Source organism: Homo sapiens, chromosome 16 (assembly GCF_000001405.40).
Source record: "Homo sapiens chromosome 16, GRCh38.p14 Primary Assembly".
In the NCBI taxonomy this organism is placed as follows: Eukaryota; Metazoa; Chordata; class Mammalia; order Primates; family Hominidae; genus Homo; species Homo sapiens.
Window position 1 is genome coordinate 29,717,317 of NC_000016.10, and position 14,741 is coordinate 29,732,057.

The 14,741-nt window shown below is 46.8% G+C and overlaps 1 pseudogene, besides 1 other annotated feature; it reads right to left on the minus strand.

The window, feature by feature from the left end:
* Positions 3,138–3,640: an enhancer, noted in NCBI's record as "H3K27ac-H3K4me1 hESC enhancer chr16:29731775-29732277 (GRCh37/hg19 assembly coordinates)". NCBI's record gives its function as "activates a minimal SCP1, AML or CMV promoter by ChIP-STARR-seq in naive H9 embryonic stem cells {active_cell/tissue: H9 hESC(naive)}" and the evidence as "EXISTENCE:reporter gene assay evidence [ECO:0000049][PMID:30033119]".
* RN7SKP127 (RN7SK pseudogene 127) lies at positions 13,735–14,088 on the minus strand (annotated as a pseudogene).

A 14,741-nucleotide genomic window follows, 5' to 3' on the forward strand; every position in this document is an offset into this window, starting at 1 on the left:
CCTGTAATCGCAGCACTTTGGGAAGCCAAGCTGGGCAGGTGGATCACCTGAGGTTGGGAGTTCGAGACCAGCCTGACCAATATGGAGAAATCCTGGACTCTTCTAAAAATACAAAATTAGCTGAGCGTGGCAGTGCATGTCTGTGACCCCAGCTACTCGGGAGGCTGAGGCAAGAGAACAGCTTGAACCTGGGAGGCAGAGGTTGCGGTGAGCCAAGATTGCCCTGTTGCACTCCAGCCTGGGCAAATCATCAGGCCAAGTATAAAACTAAAGTTTATTCTACAAACAACACACATGGTCCTATCATAATTTGTTTTTACCAAAAATGAGACCTGGAGAAATTGTGTCCCAAAGCTTATCATACATTTGTCATTAAATCCTAGTCTCATTAATTGTTTTTAAGCTTTTTGCCTACATTTTAGACTAACCCTGTTTATTCCTGTAAATCAAGTGGTGATCTGCAGCTTGGAAGAAAAAAAAAGGAATGGAGAATGTAAAAATCTGAATCAATATACTGGTTCTGGGCAATTATCCTATAAATTCTGCCAGGTAATAAAAGTGAGTAGGGGCCAGGCGCGGTGGCTCACCCCTGTAATCCCAGCACTTTGGGAGGCCGAGGTGGGTGGATGACCTGAGGTAGGAGTTTCAGACCAGCCTGGGCAACATGGTGAAACCCCATCTCTACTAAACATACAAAAAAATTATCTGGGCATGGTGGTGTGTGCCTATAATCCCAGCTACTAGGAAGGCTGAGGCAGGAGGATAGCTTAAACACAGGAGGTGGAGGTTGCAGTGAGCCGAGATCGCGCTATTGCCCTCCAGCCTGGGTGAGAAGGCGAGACTCCGTCTTTAAAAAAAAAAAAAAAGAAAAGCAGGGCGCGGTGGCTCACGCCTGTAATCCCAGCACTTTGGGAGGCCAAGGCGGGTGGATCACGAGGTCAGGAGATCGAGACCATCCTGGCTAACATGGTGAAACCCTGTCTCTACTAAAAATACAAAAAAATTAGCTGGGCGTGGTGGCGGGCACCTGTAGTCCCAGCTACTTGGGAGGCTGAGGCAGGAGAATGGCGTGAACCCAGGAGGTGGAGCTTGCAGTGAGCTGAGATCGCGCCACGGCACTCCAGCCTGGGCGAAAGAGCAAGACTCCGTCTCAAAAAAAAAAAAAAGTGAGTAGGGTGCCCATAGCTTGGAGATTTCTTTGTTTGGGAAAATAAAACAAAAGAACTTCATAAACCCCCAAAGGGAAATTCTATATCTTGGCAAGTAAAATTTTAAGTGGAAATTATCTACTACACCACACTTGTGGGAATTGCTGTACTCACCCCACTATTTTCAATAGGGTTATACACGGTAGCACCTTAAAGCTGAAATATTGGACAGAGTTTCCATTGCCGTAGTATTCTGCTTATTATCCTTATAGCAGGGATAGTAGTTACTAACGAAAAGGAAGCATAAAAGTTACTATCACCGAATCTGCCAGGACTTTTTACTGGGTTTAGTGATGCACTTTTAAATGAAACATGCTGCTTCTGGATTAAAACCTCTACTAAAGTAGAGGAAAATCTACAGGTACTTAAAGATGAAATCAAAATCATTGACAGGCTCAGAGAAAATGCCGGCTTCAGCCCCGGGTGGCTACAATCCCTCTTTAATGAATTCCTGTCTTCTTTATGGAATTGGTTAACCCCTTTATTAAGCCCTGTCTTGTTTATATGTCTTGTATAAATATTTGGACCCTGTATACTCAATACTGTAACTCAAATTGTTTCCTCTTGCTTAGAAGCCATCTAACTCCAAATGGTGCAAACTGAACAACCCAAGGACATGCCCCCACATGTGCCTGGCAACGTGGCTGCCCCCACATATCCCCACCTGTGTAAAACATCATTGCACCCTGCATTTGCATATTAAAAGGCTAGGGTGGGAGGGCCAGTTTTTTCAAAGGCTACACGAATAAAATGCCTGGTCAAACCAGTTCCCTGAGCCCTATGCAAATCAGACACCGCCTCCTCCAGCCTACTCATAACTGGCTGGTATCCCCCGCACTTGTGGTCTCCTCTGTTGGCTTTGGAGCCCCTCTCCCTCTGTCTCTGTACAGGGGAGCTTCTTCCTTCTTTCTGCTCCCTTTTTTCTTGCCTATTAAACTCTCCACTCCTTAAAACCACTCCATGTGTGTCCATGTGGCTTTATCCAATTCCCACGGAACAGGAGCCCTGGTGTTCCTCCACTCATAGAAGCTTTATTACTTATATATATATTCTATATATCCATCATGCATCCTACAAAGTGAAAGCAACTTTTTTTTTTTGAGATGGAGTCTCACTATGTAACCCAGGCTGGAGTGCAATGGCACAATCTCGGCTCACTGCAACCTCTGCCTCCTAGGTTCAAGTGATTCTCCCACCTCAGCCTCCCGAGTAGCTGGGACTACAGGCGCATGCAACCACAGCCAGCTAAATTTTGTATTTTTAGTAGAGATGGGGTTTCACCATGTTGGCCAGGCTGGTCTCGAACTCCCGACCTCGTGATCCACCCACCTCGGCCTCCCAAAGTGCTGGGATTACAGGTGTGAGCCACAAAGCCCGGCCAAAGTAACTTATTAATTCTGATAATTTTTCCCTCCCTCCCTCCCTCCCTCACTTTCTTCCTTCCTTCCTTCGTTTTGTTTTGGTTTTTGAGATGGAGTCTTGCTCTATCGCCCAGGCTGGAGTGCAGTGGCATGATCTCGGCTCACTCAACCTCTTCCTCCCAGGTGCAAGCGATTCTCCTGCCTCAGCCACCTGAGTAGACGGGATTACAGGCGTGTGCCACCACACTCGTTTTTGTTTGTTTGTTTGTTTGTTTGTTTGTTTTTTGAGACAGAGTCTCGCTCTGTCTCCCCAGCTGGAGTGCAGTGGCACAATCTAGGCTCACTGCCAGCTCCACCTCCCGGGTTCAAATCATTCTCATGCCTCAGCCTCCCCAGTAGCTGGGACTACAGGTGCCCACCACCATGCCCGGCTAATGTTTTGTATTTTTAGTAGAGACAGGATTTCACTGTGTTAGCTAGGATGGTCTCGATCTCCTGACCTCGTGATCCACCCGCCTCGGCCTCCCAAAGTGTTGGAATTACAGGCGTGAGTCACTGCGCCCAGCCTACACACACTTTTTTTTTTTTTTTAATTAGCTGGGCCTGGCTGAGCACGGTGGCTCATGCCTGTAATCCCAGCACTTTGGGAGGCCAAGGCGGGCGGATCAACTGAGGTTGGGAGTTCAAGACCAGACTGACTAACATGGAGAAACCCCGTCTCTGAAAATACAAAATTAGCCGGGCATGGTGGCGCATGCCTGTAATCCCAGCTACTCCAGAGGCTGAGGCAGGAGAATGGCTTGAACCTGGGAGGCGGAGGTTGCTGTGAGCTGAGATGGCGCCATTGCACTCCAGCCTGGGCAACAAAAGTGAAACTCTGTCTCAAAAAAAAAAAAAAAAAAATTAGCTGTGCCTGTAGTCCTAGCTACTGTGGAGGCTGAAGCAGGAGGACTGGTTGAGCCCAGTTCAAGGACGCAGTGAGCTATGATTGCACCACTGTACTCCAGTCTGGGCAACAGAGTGAGATGTTATCTAAAAAAACAGAGTACAATTCAGTGGTTTTTAGTATATTCACAAAGTTGTGCAATCTATGCCACTATCCAGACATTTTAATCAACCCAAAACGAAACTCTATGCCGAATAGTCACTGCCCATTCCCCTCTCTTCCCTAGCCCTGCCAACCACTAATCTGTAGGGACCAGCCCCACAGGGTCGGTGGGTCTCTCCCTGTGTGCGGCGACGAGAGAGTGTAGAAATAAAGACACAGACAAAGAGATAAGAGAAAAGGCAGCTGGGCCCGGGGGGACCACTACCACCAATGCCCGGAGACCGGTAGTGGCCCCGAATGTCTGGCTGCGCTGTTATTTATTGGATACAAGGCAGAAGGGGCAGGGTAAAGAATGTGAGTCACCTCCAATGATAGGTAAGGTCACGTGGGTCATGTGTCCACCGGACAGGGGGCCCTTCCCTGCCTGGCAGCCGAGGCAGAGAAGGAGAGGAGACAGAGAGAAAGAGAGCTTATGCCATTATTTCTGCATATCAGGGACTATTTGTATTTTCACTAATTTACTACTGCTATCTAGAAGGCAGAGCCAGGTGTACAGGATGGAACATGAAGGCGGACTAGGAGTGTGACCACTGAAGCACAGCATCACAGGGAGACGGTTAGGCCTCTGGATAACTGCGGGCGAGCCTGACTAATGTCAGGCCCTCCACAAGAGGTGGAGGAGCAGAGTCTTTTCTAAACTCCCCCGGGGAAAGGGAGACCCCTCCCCCCACTTTCCCGGTCTGCTAAGTAGTGGGTGTTTTCCCTTGACACTTACGCTACCGATGGACCACAGTCCGCCTGGCAACGGGCGTCTGTCTTCCCAGACGCTGTCGTCACCACTAGACCAAGGAGACCTCTGGTGGCTCTGTCCGGGCATAACAGAAGGCTCGCACTCTTGTCTTCTGGTCACACTTCGCTATGTCCCCTCAGCTCCTATCTCTGTATGGCCTGGTTTTTCCTAGGCTATGATTATAGAGCGAAGATTATTATAATATTGGAATAAAAAGTAATTGCTACAAACTAATGATTAATGATATTCATATATAATCATATCTAAGATCTATATCTGGTATAACTATTCTTGTTTTATATTTTATTATACTGGAACAGCTCGTGTCCTCTGTCTCTTGCCTCGGCGCCTGGGTGGCTTGTCGCCCACACTAATCCACTCTCTTAACCCCCCTCCCTTTTTTTTTTTTTTTTTAAGAGATAGGGGTCTCATTATAATGTTGCCTAGGCTGGCTTCAAACTCCTGGGCTCAAGTGATCCTCTTGCCTCAACCTCCCAACTAGCTGACACACGCCACCACATCAGGCTTTTTCTTTTTTTTTTTTTTTGGGACAGAATCTCATTCTGTTCACCCAGGCTGGAGTGCAGTGATGGTGTGATCTCGGCTGCAACCTCCACCTCCCAGGTTCAAGCGATTCTCGTGCTTCAGCCTCCCAAGTAGCTGGGATCACAGGCATGTGCGCCACCATGCCCGGCTAATTTTCTGTTTTTAGTAGAGACGGGGTTTCTCCATGTTGGTCAGGCTGGTCTCGAACTCCTGACCTCAGGTGATCCGCCTACCTTGGCCTCCCAAAGTGCTGGGATTACAGGTGTGAGTCACTGTGCCTGGCCTAATTCTTGTATTTTTAGTAGAGACAAGGTTTCTCCATGTTGCCCAGACTGGTCTCAAACTCCTGGCCTCAAGTGATCAGTCCACCTTGGCCTTGCAAAGTGCAGGGGTTACAGGCATGAGCCACTGCACTCGGTCTATTTTTTTTTTTTTTTTTTTTTTTGTAGAGACAAGGGTCTTGCTGCCAGGCGCGGTGGCTCACACCTGTAATCCCAGCACTTTGGGAGGCCGAGGTGGGTGGATCACGAGGTCAGGAGATCGAGACCATCCTGGCTAACACAGTGAAACCCCGTCTCTACTAAAAAATACAAAAAATTAGCCAGGCGTGGTGGCAGGCACCTGTAGTCCCCGCTACTGGGGAGGCTGAGGCAGGAGAATGGCGTGAACCTGGGAGGCCGAGCCAGCAGTGAGCCGAGATTGCACCACTGTACTCCAGCCTGGGCGACAAAGTGAGACTCCGTCTCCAAAAAAAAAAAAAAAAAGAAAAGAAGAGACAAGGGTCTTGCTATGTGGCCCAGGCTGGTCTTGAACTCCTCTTATCTTGGCCTCCCAGAGCGCTGGGATTACAAGGATGAGCCACCGCACCTAGATGCTGGCTACTTTAAGATTTTCACTTTATCAGTGGCTTTGAGCAATTTGATTATGATGTGCTTTGGTGTAGTTTCTTGTGTTAGAGAATTGTTGAGCTTCTTGGATGTGTAGATTTATGATTTTCATCAAATTTGGAAACTGTTAAGCTATTAGTCCTTAAGGTATTTTTTCTGTGCCCCTCTATCTCTCCTTTCCTTCAACTCCAATTACTCACATATTAGCCTGCATAAAGTTATTCCACAGCTCACTGATGTGGTTTTCTTTTTACTTTCCAGACAGGGTCTCACTCTCACCCAGGCTGCAGTGCCGTGGCACAATCATAACTCACTGCAACCTTCACCTCCTAGGCTCAAGAAATCCTCCCATCTCAGCCTCCTAAGTAGCTGGGACTACGGGTGCACACCATCACACCTGGCTAATTTTTTCTTTTTTGTAGATATGGAGTCTAGCTATGTTGCCCAGGTTGGTCTCAAACTCCTGGCCTCAAGTGATCTTCATGCCTTGACCTCCCAAAATGTTGGGATTACAGGTGTGAGCTACTGTGCCCAGCCATGTTTTTCATTCTTAAAATTGTTTTTTCTGCCTGGCCCTGTGGCTCACGCCTATAATCCCAGCACTTCGGGGGGCTGAGGTGGGTGGATCATTTGAGGTCAGGTGTTCAAGACCAGCCTGGCCAACATGGTGAAACCCTGTCTCTACTAAAAATACAAAAATTAGCCGAGTGTGGTGGCACATGCCTATAATCCCAGCTACTTGAGAGGCTGGGCCAGGAGAATCGCTTGAACCCAGGAGTCAGAGATTGCAGTGAGCCGAGACCTTGCGCCAGTGCACTCCAGCCTGGGAGACAAGAGTGACACTCCGTCTTAAAAAAAAATTGTTTTTTTTTCTGTGAGGATCACTTGAGCCCAGGAGGTCAAGGCTGCAGTGAGCCGAGATGGTGCCACTGCACCCCAGCCAGAGTGAGACCCTGTCTCAAAAAAAAAAATTGTTTTTTCTCTGCGTTTCATTTTGGATTTCTTTTGCTATGATTTCAACTTCACTAAGGCTTCCTTCTGCAATATCTAATCTACTATCAACCCTATTTATTGTACTTTTCATCTCTGACATTGTAATCTTTTAGATGCTTGACTTGGGCCTTTGTTTTGTATCTCCTTATCGCTACTTAATTTTTTAACATATGGCATTCAGTTATAGTAACTATTTTAATGTTTTCTGCTCATTGTAACATTTGTGTCAGTTCTAGGTTGGTTTCCATTAACTGATTATTCTTCTTAATATGGTCATGTTTTCTGCCTCTTTGCCTGCCTGGTAATCTTTTCTTAAAAGTGGGGAGCTTTTAAACCAATCTCATCTTCTGGGTTAAAAAGAATTTTTTTGCCATTGAAGTTCATCTTCATATTCCAATTTTTAAAAAGCATTCTATAAATTTTAATCATGTACAATTATGGGGTACACCATGCTGTTATGATATATAGATACAGCATAGAGTAATTGAATCAAGCTAATTAACACGTTTATCATCTTAAATACTCATCATTTTTTCCTGTCTAGCTGCAACTTTGTACTCTTTGACCAAAGTCACTCCGTTTCCTCCCCACCTCCAGTTTCTGCTAACTACCATTCTACTCTCTGCTTCTATTAGTTCAATTATTTCAGATTACACATTTAAGTGAGAACATGCCAGAATGCGGTATTTGTCTTTCTGGGCCTAGTTCATTTCACTCAGCATAATGTCCTCCAGCTTCATCCATGTAGTTGCAAATCACAGGATTTGCTTCTTGCTTCTTTTTAAAGTTGAATGGTATTCTATTCAAATGTGTATATATACACATTTTCTTTATCTTTTCTGTCTTTTCATCTCTTTTTTTTTTTTTTTTTTTTTTTTTTGAGACAGAGTCTTGCTCTGTCACCCAGGCTGGAGTGCAGTGACTTGGTCTTGGCTCACTGCAACCTCCGCCCCTCTGGGTTCAACCAATTCTCGTGCCTCAGCCTCCCAAGTAGCTGGAATTACAGGAGTGCACCGTACCATGCCCGGCTAATTTTTGTATTTTTATTAGAGACAGAGTTTCACCCTGTTGGCCAGACTGGTCTCAAACTCCTGGCCTCAGGTGATCTGCCCGCCTCAGCCTCCCAAAGTGCTGGGATTATACACGTGAGCCACCACGTCCAGCCTGTTTTTTGTTTGTTTGTTTTTTGTTTTTGAGATGGAGTCTCACTCTGTCAGCCAGGCTGGAATGCTGTGGTGCAATCTCGGCTCACTGCAGCCTCTGCCTCTCAGCTTCAAGCGATTCTCTTGCCTCAGCCTCCCAAGTAACTGGGATTACAGACGCCTGCCACCATGCCCAGCTAATTTTTGTATTTTTAGTAGAGATGGGGGTTTCACCATGTTGGTCAGGCTGCTCTCAAACTCCTTACCTCAAGTAATCTGCCTGCTTTGGTCTCCCAAAGTGTTGGGATTACAGGCGTGAGCCACAGCGCCTGGCCACATTTTCTTTATCCTTTCATCTGCTGATGGATGCTTAGGTTGATGTCATGATTTGCCTGTTGTAAATAACACTGCAGTGAACCTGGAAATGCAGATATCTCTGACACACTGATTTTTCAGTTCCTTTGGATATACACCCAGAAGTGGGATTGCTGGATCATTTGGTAAGTCTACTTTTAGTTTTTTCGTTTTGTTGTTGTTGTTGTTGTTGTTTTAAATGAGTCTGGCTCTATCACCCAGGCTGGAGTGCAGTGGCACTATCTTGGCTCACTGCAAACCTCCACCTCTTCCCTGCTCATGCAATCCTTCCACCTCAGCCTCCCTAGTAGCTGGAACTATGGTGCATGCCACCATGCCTGGCTAATTTTTGTATTTTTTGCAGAGACGGGGGTTTTACCATGATGTCCAGGCTGGTCTCAAACTCCTGGGCTCAAGTGATCTGTCCACTTCAGCCTCCCAAAAGTGCTGGGATTACAGATGCAAGCCACCACGCCCAGCCTATATTTTGAGGAACTTCCATATAATTTTCCAGAATGACTGTAATAATTTACATTCCCACGAACGGTGGGTAAGGGTTCCCTTTTCTCCATATCTTCACCAACACCAGCACCAACAGGTGATATCTCATCGTGCTTTTAATTTGCGTTTTCCTGGTGGTTAGTGCTGTTGAACATTTTTTCATATATTTGTTGGTCATTTCTGTGTCTTTTTTTTTTTTAATATCTGTTCAGGTCCTTTGCCCATTTTAAATCAGCTTATTTGTTTTTTTCACTCTGAGTTTTTTGAGTTTCTTATATATTTTGGGTATTAACACCTTATTGGATGTATTGCTTACAAATGTTTTCTCCCAATCTGTAAGTTATTACTTCATTCTGTTAATTTTTTCCTTATGCTTGGTAATCCTTGATTGCTTATCAGACATTGTAAATTTTACCTTGTAGAACACCAAATATTTGTGTAATCTTTATGATTTGTTAGACAGGTCCAGATTAATGCTCAGTGTAGGCTTAATTTTTTTTTTTTTTTTTTTTTTTTTAGATAGAGTCTCACCGTTGCCCAGGCTGGAGGGCAGTTGTGCCATTTTGGTGCACTGCAGCCTCTGCCTCTGGAGTTCAACTGATTCTCCTGCCTCAGCCTCCTGAGTAGCTGGGACTAGAGGCACACGCCACCATGCCTGGCTAATTTTTGTATTTTTAGTAGAGAGTGGGTTACACCCTGTTGGCCAGGCTGCTCTTGAACTCCTGGCCTCAAGTGATCTGCCCACCTTGGCCTCCCACAGTGCGATTACAGGTGTGAGCCACCGTGCCTGCCCGGCCTTTTTAAGAGATGTGGTCTTGCTGTGTTGCCTGGGCTGGTCTCAAAGTCCTGACCTCAAGTGATCCACCCATCTCAGCCTCCCACAGTGCTGGGATTACAGGCATGAGCCACTGCACCGGAAGTCTAGGTTTAATTATTCCCCATTACTGAGACAAGATCTTCCTGAGCACTCTACCCCATGCCTAGCGAATGATCAGTTTTTCCAGCTGGCCAGTGGGAAGAGGTCCTGGCCCTACCTCGTGTGAATCTTGGGCGTTGTTTCCTCGAATCCTTTCAGCTGGTTCTTTCCCTGGCCTTGGAGAGTTTCTTCACACACATGTGCTGATTAGTTCTTTGCTGAATCCTCTGAAGTCCTCTGGGGTACTCTCTCTGTGCACCTCTGTCTTGTAGGTGTTCCATTATCTAAGCTCTAGCTGCTGTGGTCTCCTCGGACTCAGCCACTCCATTTCCTCAACTCTGCGAATCCTCTGGGCTGCAACAACCCACATCCCCCTTGCCCTGCCCCACACTTTGGAAACGCTCTCGAAGCAGTAAACTGCACAGTCCTAAAAGGACTGTTGATGTCCTTTCTCTCTGGGATTTCATTGCTTTTGTTACTTTCTCTCATTGCTTGATGTTCAGCGTTTTGAACACTGTTGTTCCATGTATTGGGTCTGTTTTTGTCACTGTGGTGGTGGTGATTGTTTCAGACAGGAGGGCGGACCCAGCCCACGTGACTCCATCTTGGCTGGAAGCAGGAATCTCGGGATCAGTGGTTTCAAAGCTCCTCAGGTGATTCCAGGGGACGCTGAGGTGAGGACCACTTGCAGAGACTCCTCTGCTTGAAATATCTCTCAATCAAATGGAATCTTCTTTTGTTGTTCCCACCCCTTCATTTTCTCTGTTCTCTCTTTCTGAGTTTTTTCTTTGTTTTTGTTTTTTGAGACAAGGTCATGCTGTGTTGCCCAGGATGGAGTGCAGTGGTGCCATCACGGCTCACTGTAGCCTCAACCTCCCGGGCTCAAACAATCCTCCTGCCCCAGCCTCACGAGCAGCTGGGACCACAGGCCCATACCATCACGTCCAGCTATGTTCTCTCTTTCTGGAACTTCTGTTAAACAAATATGGATTGAATTGATTCTCCATCTCTTTTCTTTCATATTTTCCTTTCTTTTCTTTCTTTTTTGTTGGCATTTTGCTCTACATCCTGAGAGGTGTTTCAAAACTTTTCCACCCGTACCTTCCTTTGATTAATTTTTTATTTAACTTAATTAATTAATTAATTTTTGAGACATGGTCTCACTCTGTCACCCAGGCTGGAGTGCAGTGGTGCAATCTCAGCTCACTGCAGACTCAACCTCCTGGGCTCAAGTGATCCTCCTACCTCAGCCTCCTGAGTAGCTGGGAGTACAGATGCACTCCACCATGCCCGGCTAATTATTTTATTTTTTGTAGAGATGGGGTTTTGCCATGTTTCCCAGGCTGTGATGGATTTTTAAATTTGGTCCGTCGTATTTGTGACTTCCAGAACTTTGTCTTGTTCTCCAATTGCAGCATCTTCCTGGAAGCCTCTTCTTGGTTCGTGGTGCATTATCTTATTCATTCCTTTCCTCCAGGGCTAGTGTTCTGCTATTCTTCCTTTCTTTTTTTTTTTTGAGACAGAGTCTTGCTCTGTTGCCCAGGCTGGAGCACAGTGGCGTGATCTCAGCTCACTGCAAGCTCCAGCTCCTGGGTTCACGCCATTCTTCTGCCTCAGCCTCCCGAGTAGCTGGGACTACAGGTGCCTGCCACTACGCCCGGCTAATTTTTTTGTATTTTCAGTAGACATGGAGTTTCACCATGTTAGCCAGGATGGTCTTGATCTCCTGACCTCATGATCCACCCGCCTTAGCCTTCCAAAGTGCTGGGATTACAGGCATGAGCCATTGCGCCCAGGCTTTTTTTTTTTTTTTTTTTTTTTTTTTGAGATGGAGTTTTGCTCTTGTTGCCCAGGCTGGAGTGCCACCTGCAGCCCAGTGATCTTGGCTCACTGCAACCTCTGCCTCCTAGGTTCACGCAATTTTCGTGCCTCAGCCTCCCGAGTAGCTGGGATTACAGTCATGTGCCACCATGCCCGGCTAATTTTATATTTTTACTAGAGATGGGGTTTCACCATGTTGGCCAGGCTGGTCTCGAATTCCAGACCTCAGGTGATCCACCCTCCTCAGCCTCCCAGTAAGCCACTGCACCCAACCATCTGCTATTCATCTTAATCCTCTCTGGTGGCACCGAAATGAAGAGGAGACCCATGTGGATCTCCCTGCAGCCGGGTGAGTCTGGTTCCACAGGAGGCCTTTTCCTGAACTGGCTGCAGGCTCCGCGGGCAGGTCTGTTAATTGGTTAAAATGCTTCATTCAGTTAGGTGGGTTTTGTTCCCTTCTCCCCACCCAGAGGACATTTGGGAATGTCGGGAGATATTTTTGGTTATGGCAGCTAGGGGGATCCTTCTGACACCTAGTGGATAGAGGCCAGAAATGCCACTAAGTATCCTAGGACATGCAGGAGAGCCTCTCAACGATTAAGAATCAGCTGTCCCAACATGTTAATAGCACATAGGTCGGAGAGACACCCTGATTTAAGGCCATCTGAGTACAGGCTCCCCAGCTCTCACCACCAAAGGCCAAGATAAGGAGGGTCCCTCTACAGCCACTTCAGGGAACTTCCAAGGGAGCTTGTTCAATTATGTTTATTTATTTTATTTATTTATTTTTTTTGAGACGGAGTCTTGCTCTGTTGCCCAGGCTGGAGTGCAACCTCCACCTCCCAGGTTCAAACGATTCTCCTGCCTCAGCCTCCCAAGTAGCTGGGATTACAGGCACCTGCCACCACACCCAGATAATTTTTGTATTTTTTGTAGAGAAGGGGTTTCATCACGTTGCCCAGGCTGGTCTTGAATGCCATGACCGCCCCCAGTTGTGCTTAGAAGATACCGCCAACAGGCCGGGTGCGGTGGCTCATGCCTTAATCCCAGTACTTTGGGAGGCCGAGGCAGCTGGATCACGAGGTCAGGAGTTCGAGCCTGGCCAAGATGGTGAAACCCCGTCTCTACTAAAAATACCAAAATTGGCCAGGCATGGTAGCTCACGCCTGTAATCCCAGCACTTTGGGAGGCCAAGGTGGGTGGATCATGAGGTCAGGAGATCAAGACCATCCTAGCTAACACGGTGAAACCCCGTCTCAAAAATACAAAAAGTTAGCCAAGCGTGGTGGCACACACCTGTAGTCCCAGCTACTCAGAAGGCTGAGGCAGGAGAATCGCTTGAACCCAGGAGGTGGAGGTTGCAGTGAGACAAGGTCGTACCACTGCACTCCAGCCTGGGCGGCAGTGTGAGACTCCATCTCAAAATAAATAAATAAATAAATAAAATATTAAAACATAAAAATACAAAAATTAGCCAGGCAAGGTGGCGAGTACCTGTAATCCCAGCTACTCAGGAAGCTGAGGCAGGGGAATCACTTGAACCTGGGAGGTGGAGGTTGCAGTGAGCCGAGATCACGCCACTGCACTCTAGCCTGGGTGACAGAGCAAGACTCTGTCTCCAAAAAAAAAAAAAAAAGAAGACACCTCCAGCTGACAGATCATGAGCCACATGTGGCCCAGGCTTGTCTTGTTTGGCTTTTATAGGGAGATAGATTTATATATATATACATATATATATATGTTGTTCTGTAGTGTTGCGTCATGAGATATTGAAAAACACACATAACTTTTTTTAAAATTTGTTCTGGGCCAGGCGTGTAATCCCAGTAATTTGTGCAGCTGAGATGGGAGGATCGCTTGATCTCAGGAGTTCAAGACCAACCTGTGTGACACAGTGAGACACTCATCTCTACAAAAAATTAAAAATTACTGGGGCATGGTTTCGTGCACCTGTGGTCCCAGCTGAGATGGGAGAATTGCTTGAGCACACGAGGTCAAGGCTGCAGTGAGCCAAGATCGCACCGCTGCACTCCAGCCTGGGCGACAGAGCAAGATCCTGTCTCAAAACAAACAAAAACAAAAGTAAAACTACAATGTGAATGCAAGTTTTCTCAGAATATACATCCTTTAATATTTTGATCTTTGAATTTTCAATCACTATCTACCACAGAATGTTCCCTTTCCAAATTACAACTAATTTATAACTCAGTAAGGAACACTCTGGGACAAGTTCTTTTTTTTCTTTCTTTTTTCCAACTCTGGATACAGATTGGCAGACAGCAGTCTTGAGAGCTTGTTGGGAGGGTCTAGCAGGGGAGCACAGCTACTTGTATGCCCTTGACCGAAGACTGGTCCTTGTCTATCGGGGATGGTTGTCCTCTTTAACGGAGTGCACAGCTTCAGGAGGTTGCACATGGAGTAGTGAGGGAGGAAGGGGACACCCACCTAGCCAGCCAGGTCAGCTGAATCAACCCTGGCGATCAGTGGGGTAACATGTTGCAGCCAGATCGCCCTCACATCCAGGCAGCAGTCTTTAGTGAAGTGCTAACATTGTTCAACAGAGAAATCCAATAGCTAGGTTGGAGGTGGGCAGAGAAAGGGAAGTTATAAAACTCACCAGGCTGGGCGCAGTGGCTCATGCCTGTAATCCCAGCACTTTGGGAGGCCGAGGCGGGCAGATCATGAGGTCAGGAGATCGAGACCATCCTGGCTAACACGGTGAAACCCCATCTCTACTAAAAATACAAAAAATTAGCCAGGCGTAGTGGCCGGCACCTGTAGTCCCAGCTACTTGGGAGGCTGAGGCAGGAGAATGGCGTGAACCCGGGAGGCAGAGCTTGCAGTGAGCTGAGATCGCACCACTGCACTCCAGCCTGGGCGACAGAGCGAGACTCCATCTCAAAAGAAAAAAAACAACAACAAAAAAACTCACCAAAGATTTGGCTAACATCACATCAAAAGGAGTATTCTCATTTTACTTAAAATGCCCACATTTGTGTTTGTTTTGTTTTGTTTTGAGACAGAGTTTCACTCTTGTTGCCCAGGCTGGAGTACAATGGTGCGATCTTGGTTCACTACAACCTCCGCCTGCCCGGTTGAAGTGATTCTCCTGCCTCAGCCTGCTGAGTAGCTGGGATTACAGATGTGCCCCACCATGCCCGGCTAATTTTTTGT